The following is an 8586-nucleotide window of genomic DNA, read 5'->3' on the forward strand; positions in this document are numbered from 1 at the left end:
TAAACCTTTCCAAGAACTAACCCATCAGTCTGCCCTTGTTCATCCCTGAGCAGATGTATGGTGGTATTGTGGTAGACAACTATTGGGTACTCTGCCAAGTAACTGGAGCAGCACTTGTGTTCTAATACAATTGGCCATCCCTTTTACCCTGGCATTTCATCAACCCAGCAAAAAGAACCACCACCACAGTAAAAGAAGTGTCCCTCATGGGTCTTTTGATCCTCATGTTTATATAGATGTTATTGGAGTGCCCCAGGGGGTACCAGATGAGTTTAAAGCCTGAAATCAAATAGCCACAGGATTTGAATCTGTATTATTCTGGTGGTCGACTATAAACAAAAACAGATTGGGTAAATTACATTTACTATAACCAACAACATTTTGTCAATTACAAAAGAGATGCCATTAGAGAAATATTTGAACAACTAGGTGCCACCAGCCAGATGGCTGGGGAAAACAGAATAGCTCTTGATATAGTAGCTGAAAAAGGTGGAGCCTGTGTCATGATGGGAGTTCAATGTTGTATTTTTATTCCTAATAACACGGCCCTTGATGGAACAATTACAAAACCATTGCAAAGCCTTATCAATTTAGAAAACGAATTAGCTAAAAATTCTGGAATAAATAACCCTTTTACAAGTCTCATGGGAAATGGTTTGGGAAGTGGAAAGGACTCTTGACTTCAATATTTACTTCTTTTGCAATTGTTATAGGTGTACTCATTCTTGTAAGTTGCTGTATCATACCCTGTATTTGTGGGTTAATGCAAAGGCTTCTAGAACCACTCTCACAAAAGCCTTCCTCCACTCTCCCCCACCCTATTCAGATAAATTCCTACTTCTAAACTACCAAGAGGAACAACCAAGCCGAATTACGTTAAGACATTTTGAAGAGAAAGAATTATAAAATGGAAAAGGGAAAATTTGTTAGAACAATTTCCTCTTCAAAACTTAACTCTCTTGTTGTAAGTTGTAAGACTGTAAATTAGCCCTTCTCCCTGCTTCAGTCTTCAAAGTCCTCATCTCACTACCTTATTTGGAAAAAGTTTCAAATTTCCTTGTTGTCTCTGTTCTGTGACCAACCCTTCCTGCCTTGCCACACCCAGACATGCCCAGACATGCCTTCCCTCCTGCCTAGTTAGTAATGGACATCTCTTCCTCCCCTCCTTTCGCAAAGTGCGTGTTTACCCTATCTGGAAAAGTTTAAGTCTTTTTCCCTATTTGGAGAAGTTTAAGTCTTAGCCAACCTGGATAGCTTAGATTGTAAGGTCCAACTCCAGCCAATGGGGAAAGGACACAAACAGGAATTGCGTTAGGGATAAAAACCCCTTTTCTCCTTTGTTTGGTGTGCTCTTGCAATTGTGGCTGATGCAGGTTGCACCATTCTACAGAAGTAAATTGCCTTGCTGAGAAAACTTTTTGCCTGAGTGCTGGTTCTTCTTTGCAGTATCAAGCATTTGTTTCTAACATTGGGAAGAGGCTGGACAAATTTGGAGGAGCATCTTAAAAGCCTAGACTCTGATGAGGGCTTAGAGGAAATAAAGATTAGGGAACATTTGAAACTCTTTAGAGATTAAGTGGTTGTGGCCAGAATGCTGGTAAAAATATGAAGTGTAAGGGCCATTCTGATAAGGTTTCAGATAGAATTGAGGGACAAATTATTGAAAACAGGAGTAAAGATCATCGCTGTCATAAATTGGCCAAGAACTTAGCTAAACTGTGTTCATGCCCAAGGGCTTCGTGAAGGGCCAGACTTGACAGTGATAAACTAGGGTACTTGGCTGAAGAAGTTTCTAAGCAAAATATAGAAGGTGCTTCATGGGGGTTAATTTTGGCCCCTTACACTGAGATTCAGGAGCAAAGGCATAATTTAAAAACAGGATTTATGATTAAAAGGAAAGTAAAGTGGAAAGATTTGGAAAACTCTCAGCCTCTTGATGTAAAGAATGAAAAAGTGTGCTCAGGAGAGGAAACCAAGAGTGTAGCCCAGACGTGGTTTGCTACAGAGATTAACATGGATTGAAAAGAACCAGGTGCATTCCTCAAGACAATGGAAGTATAATTTGAGAGACCAAAATAGATGCCCCTTTATCAACTGATATGGACCCTAAGTTTAAGGAAACAAAAGTTACCTACTGGTTGAGGATTCACGCTTGACTGGCATGGTAACTTCCTAAATTCCTTATGGCTACAAGAAGAACCACACTCTTGCTAATCTCCCTAACAACAGGAGCTATTAGGTAGATTGTCAAACCTTTCCTAAGTGATTTACAACCCAGGCCACTACAATTCTGATTAGACAGAGGACTTGCCTTACACTCTTTCCTGATTAACAATTGCAGACCTCAAGCCAGTTTCAGCAAGCTCATAACTGTCTTTGTGTCCTATGGTTTGTCTTTTGACAAAAGGCAAAAATAAAGAGCCAAGTTCTGCCTCATTTTAATGCTAAAACCTCACTCCAAAATGAACATGAGATGTATATTCCATATATCTTTACCCACTATGCATATGCTCAACTCCCCTCATAAATATGTATTAGCTTTTTCTCCAAACCTGCTGAGTATGTATGACTATCGTGTAATACACACCTTGTGAAGCATAAAAACCAGTCTGCCCTTTTCCTCTTCAGAGAGAGAACCTTTGGTACAAGTTAGAGACTATCTTTTCCCGGTTTGCAACTAATATTGCCAATAAAATTCCTCTATTATTTAGCCATTGTGGTGGTCTTTTGCATGACAGAAGAAAGACCCTGAAGGCGTTTCAAAGATAGTTGAGGCTGTCACTCCTATCATAGGTCCAGAAGCCTAGAAGGAAAAAATAGTTTCCAGAGAGAGGCCCCAGGCACCCTCCAAAGGTTTGCTACCCAGGGCTGTCTTGGGATTCTGCTCCCTAATTTACTCTGGCTCAGTGCTTCTCAGCTGATCCAGCTATGGCCCAAGCAGCCCCAGGTGCAGGTCGACTTGCCCTTTAAGAGGATACAAGCCCTAAGCCTTGGCAGTGTCCATGTGGTGCTAATGCTGCAGGCTTGCAGAAAGCAAGAGCTGTGAAGACTTGGCAGTGTCCATGTGGTGCTAATCCTGCAGGCTTGCAGAAAGCAAGAGCTGTGAAGACTTGGCAGTCTCCATGTAGATTTCACAGGAAGTTGATTACAACGTGGGAGCTGGGGCAGAGACTTGTGGGGCAGAGCCACTGCACCCCTGCTAAGAGCCCCCACTAGAGCTGTGCTGAGTAAAAATGTGGGGTTGGAGCTGCTGCAGAGAGTTCTTACCAGGATGATGCCTAGTGTCATGAAAGCAGGACGCCAGAACTGTAGCGTTACCAGCAGCAGGCAATGCCTACCTGGGAAACCCTCAGAAACCTATAGAGGCAGTGTTGTGTGGAGTACACAGCAAAGCCATAGGGTGGGGCTGCCTGGGGCTGCCAGGAGGCTTTACATAAAGTGAAAAGCAATTATTGTCTAGCTTTAAGATGTAATGTCTGCCCTGCTGGGTTTTGGCCTTGCCTGGGGCACGTTATTCCTTTCTTTTTGCCTATTTCTCCCTTTTGGAATAAGAATGTCTGTCTTATGTCTGTAGCATCAATGTATCTTGGAAGTAGATAACCTGTTCTGATTTCACAGACTCATAGATGAGAGTCTGCACTTTGGACTTTTGAGTTGGTGCTGGAATGAGTTAAAACACTGGGGCTATAGAGATAGCATGAATGTATTTGTATGTCAGAACATGAGTTTTAGGGGGTGGGGCAGGGCAGAATGCTATGGTTTGAATATTTGTCCCTGCCATACAAATCTCCAATGTGGCAGTACTGAGAACTGGGGCCTTTAAAAGCAGTGACTGGGTCACATGGGCTCTGCCCTCATGTATGAACTAATCTATTCATGAATAGATTAATGGATTAACAAACCAGCTTGTTAACATTGTGGTGGGAATGGTGGCTTTATGAGAAGAGGAAGAGAGACCTGAGGTAGCACATTAGCATGCTCAGCTCCTTGCTGTGGGATGTCCTGTGGCCCCTTGAGACTGTAGGGAGGCCCCACCAGCAAGAATGACCTAGGCCCCATGATCTTGGGCTTCTCAGCCTCCATGACTGCAAGAAATCAATTCCTTTCCTTTATAAGTTACCCAATTTAATGGTATTCTGTTATAAGCAAAAGAAAATAGACTAAGACAGGAACCCTGGTAAAAAGCAGCTTTCTTCTCAGGTCTTTGAAAAATAGACATTCAAGTCAGTTGTAGGCAGAAAGGTCACCCTTTATCATTTATAGAGGAACGGTCATTATTCATACACATTCACATTTATACTGTCATCTCAATTATGTACATAAATTTCCCATCCATTCTGTAAGTTATGATAAATTGGGAATATTATCTCTACTTTAGAGATGAGAAAGCAGATTAAGCATCAGAAAATGCCAAACCAAGGTCACAAGTGGGATGTTAATGTAGCGTTCAGTTTAATATAGAATATGCACGCAAAATAGAACACCTAATGGATGACCTTGGCCTGGTCAGACTGGAATCATTACCCTTTCACGTCACATTGGGATAGGAGCTGCCTGCAGTGTACACATTCTAGTGAGTTGGTCTTTCTTTTGAGATACTGCAAGTATGATAGTAAAGGTAAGGAGAGGCACAGCAAAGTCCAAGGTGCAAGCCAGCTCCACTGAAAATGCTCACAGCTTCTGGGAAGTAGGGCATGATCCCTGGGAGGCATGACTCAGTGCTATTAAATGGGGCAGGAAACCCTCAGGGTTTGAGTCCTGGGTCAGGGGAGTCCCCTTATAAAGGCCCTGAGAGATGAGGCCAGAGCCGTCTGTGATCCCTGAGGATTCTCCTCAAGTGCAGCAGTTTCTGCTTCCACAGCCTTTTGGGAGGAGGGCAGAGGTTGGTGAGGATAAAGCCAGCTGCTATTTGCCCAGGTTCTTCCTTCCCAAACTCTTTAGACTAGAAAAGGAAGGTGGCACTGGGGCTGCATGAGCTAAGGGAAAGAGCCCAGAATTTTAAGTCAGACTGAGAAGTGTGAACAGAGCTGCAACTGGGGAGAAAGAGGAAAGAGGTAACAGTTGCGGTGAGCAGGAAGGTGGGTGGGGGCACTCTCAGTTACTTCCCACACCTCACCCTCTGCCCAAACCCCATATTTCCTCATCTTTGCCCTCCAACAGAGGGAAGAGAAGTCTTGATAGTCCCACCTAACTGGTTTGTGTATAAACCCCAGACACTTGCCCCACCACAGAGGATGCCTGCTTCCTTTCTGTGCCAAACACTGTGGGCCATCTCCAAGAGCTCTTAGCTGATTATTCCAGTTTGGATCCAGTCACTGCTTTTCCTAAGTCCCACCAGTGTCCCCATCCCAGTTAAAGGGCTTCTGCATTAGTCAAGAGGAAGAAAATGGGGCCTGAACTAGATAAATGTCAGAGAAAGGTAAATACATGTTTTTGAGGTTCTTCTACCAGAAGCAGTCTTGAAGCACCTTGCATATGTGACTATCCTTCCTTGTCTGGTTCTTAATTTTTCAAATCTGTCATTCTGATATCCTTTTAAGATAAAGCTGTAGGCAACCAAATAGATATCAGTATTAACTGAGTCCATTCAGCATATGGAGGCCTCTTTTAAGGAGTTCTGGGAGACATAAACAGACAAGTCCTTTGAGCATGGATATCTTAGTTCTGAAAACAATGAACAGTCTGGACAAAATTTTCACTACAGAGCAGGTCTTAGATTCTGGATATTAGGGGAAGACGACTGGCTCCATTCACGCTCCTACTCTGAGTCCTTCATTCTGAAAGGAGTTGATTTTAGATGACCTTCAAAGGAAATAAGATTTATGGACTTGGACATCCTGTCTTTTCCAGAAAAATTTAAGAGATGCCATCCATTTTCTATGTGTGAGGATGGGCGAGCAGGTCTCAAGATGATCAGTGATGTTCAGAAGTTGCACAGAGGAATTCAAGGGGGATATGAAGACAAAGTAAAACATGCTTGGATTGAGGAAAATGCATGTTTACAAGGGGAGATGTACAATAGCTGTGTTTTTTTTTATCCCACAGGTTCGTTATGTACCAGCAAATGTTCATGGTACTGAAGATATACCAGTTGAAGAGAAAGAATGTTCTTGTTGTCATAGTACCTATTTGCTACGAGGTCAAATCTTGTTCCTGGAAGAAATGTACAAATATTAATACTTAAAACAGTATTTTCCATTAAGAAGAGAATTTTATTCTGATGTAGGTAACAGAGGTTATTGTTGGGATTCTTAGAACTTCCATCCTAGATGCATTTTAAATTACAAGATAACCAAACATTCTGAGCTTGCATCATATGAGAGGAGGGGAGTAGTAATCTGAGAACGTCAGAGAGATGTCTTTCAGCAGTCTAGAAGTCATGCTTCATTTGGTGAAATGTTCCACGCTTACCATGTATGTTAGAGCCTGAGTTTACAGAAGGGAATAGGCACAGTCCTTTAACTTCAGTCCCTTCACTTTGTGATTTGGTGAATATTTATGAAAGGACAGATATTAGAGAATAAAAGAGGAACTTTGTATACTTGTTAAGATTCTTTTGCAGCAGTAGTTGGTGATAGATGCTGGTGGTTTGCACAAGGGTGATGATGATGGAAATAGACACCTTGGAGATTTAGTCCGTAGGATGATCCAGTGGTACCTGCTGATGGTTAAATATGGTGCAGGAAGAATAGGGAAGAATCCAGGATGACTTGATTCTAGATTGAGCAACTGCTTGGACAGGATGTTGCATTCTGAGATATGGGTGGCACAAGCAGAGAAGTAGTTATAATTTCTGCCTCAGGCATGACAGGTTTGACATATCTGTGAGGCTGATATGTGGGGATAGTCTAGTCTGGAGTTTACAGGGAAGGTAAAGTATTTAAATTATATTTGACATTTCAGGATATGTTTACGTCTCAATGGTCAACCAGAAGAAAGATGCAGTGTTCAAGTTCTTTTCAAGAACAGTATTCCCTTTTTTAATTTTCAAGTTTTCTCCTACTACCGGATAATTTTTCAACAGAAAAAAACATGTTATTTCTCCCTTCTTAAAAACAAATTTACATATAAACACACAGACATGCAAACACACAAACTCTTGACTCTACTGTTCACTTTTAGCCAGTGTTCTATTTACTTACTGGCCTTTACATCCAAACTCTTCAAAGGAGTGAACCATGTTAAAAGACTTCAATTCCTCTTTCAGCTATTCTAAGTCAAGTAACACTTTACCTTCCTCTATTCTAGCAAAATAGTTTTTATCAAGGCATTTGATCCTCTGTGATTCCAAAAGCAGGCTAATTTGGTTTTCAAATTCTTTGACTCATCAATAGCATTTAGTATAATCTTACTAAATCAGTGATAATGTCCTCATTAACAAACTATATTCAATAGACTATTAATATAGCACATCACCTTAAAAATCTTTCTATATTAATACTTGTCCACTATCAGAGTTCTTTTCCAACTTCTCCATGGGCCCCAACTCCTCTCCTACCCCATTCTTAACATTGAGATTCAGTCCTAGGTTCTTTTCTCTCTGTGAACACTTACTATCTGGGTGCTGTTTATCTCTTTTCCACATATATTTCACCATCTTCACTTGAATTTCTGATAGATATCTCAAACTTAACCTGTTCAAAATTGAAGTCTTGACCTCCACCCTCCATAACTTCCCCATCACAGTTGGGAGCAACTCCTTTCTATTAGATGTTTATGTGAAAAATTGGGTCTCATCTTTGACTCTCTGTTGTCTCACATCCTATATCCAGCCTGTCAAGAATATCACTGACATTATTTTTGAAATATATCCCCAATCCCATTACTTCCCACTACATACATTGCTACCTTGATCCTGAGCCAATGTTCTCTCCCTTCCCTGGATTCCTGCAATAGTCTCCAGGCACTTTTCCCCGGTTCTACCCTTCCCTATTTGTGCTATTATCCATCATGGATGCCACAGAAAACTTTAAAAGTCTAAGTCTCCTCCCTCTCTGCTGAAAACAATGTCTTTGATTCTGAGAGAAATGAGGAACCTTTGCAAAGTTCCACAAAGGCCTATGAGGTCCTGTGTGATCTGGCCCCAGCACCCTAACTTGATTCTCCTGCTCATTCACTTCATCCTAGCAGGCTGCCTGCTGATCTTCGAATACCAGGTGTTTTTATGTCTTAGGGCATTTTCTCTGGCTGTTCCATTTTCTTAGACTGTTCCTCTCCTGTGGGAGACTCCTACATCCTACATTATCTTATGGCTGTCTCACGTCCTATCATCTCCCCTTTTTGTTGTAGCCATTGCTGTGGGAACCATTTGAGTGCTGGTGTAGGTTGATAGCACCTTGCTCAGCTGCATCCCACCCCAGAGTTTCTCTCCTTTTTTGCATGGCACCTCGGGGATCTCATTCAGTTATTCTGGTGCATGTATAGACCTAAAAGTGCAAGGAAATTCACCCTCCTTGGGTCGTCCCAAGGATGTGTGTGGAAGCCAGGGTGTGGAAGCCAGTGGATAAGAGTTCCCCTCTTCTGTGTCTAGAGTGGACAATTATTTGGTTCCTTCTTAATGGTTCTTCATGTGGAACTGGATACAGT

At 41.9% G+C, this 8586-nt stretch overlaps 1 annotated feature.

Moving 5' to 3' along the window:
* Positions 501–1700: an enhancer, noted in NCBI's record as "MED14-independent group 3 enhancer chr11:4485052-4486251 (GRCh37/hg19 assembly coordinates)". NCBI's record gives its function as "activates an origin of replication core promoter dependent on BRD2, BRD4, P300/CBP and CDK7 cofactors, and independent of MED14, by STARR-seq in HCT116 cells {active_cell/tissue: HCT116}" and the evidence as "EXISTENCE:reporter gene assay evidence [ECO:0000049][PMID:35650434]".

Source organism: Homo sapiens, chromosome 11 (genome assembly GCF_000001405.40).
Source record: "Homo sapiens chromosome 11, GRCh38.p14 Primary Assembly".
NCBI lineage: Eukaryota > Metazoa > Chordata > Mammalia > Primates > Hominidae > Homo > Homo sapiens.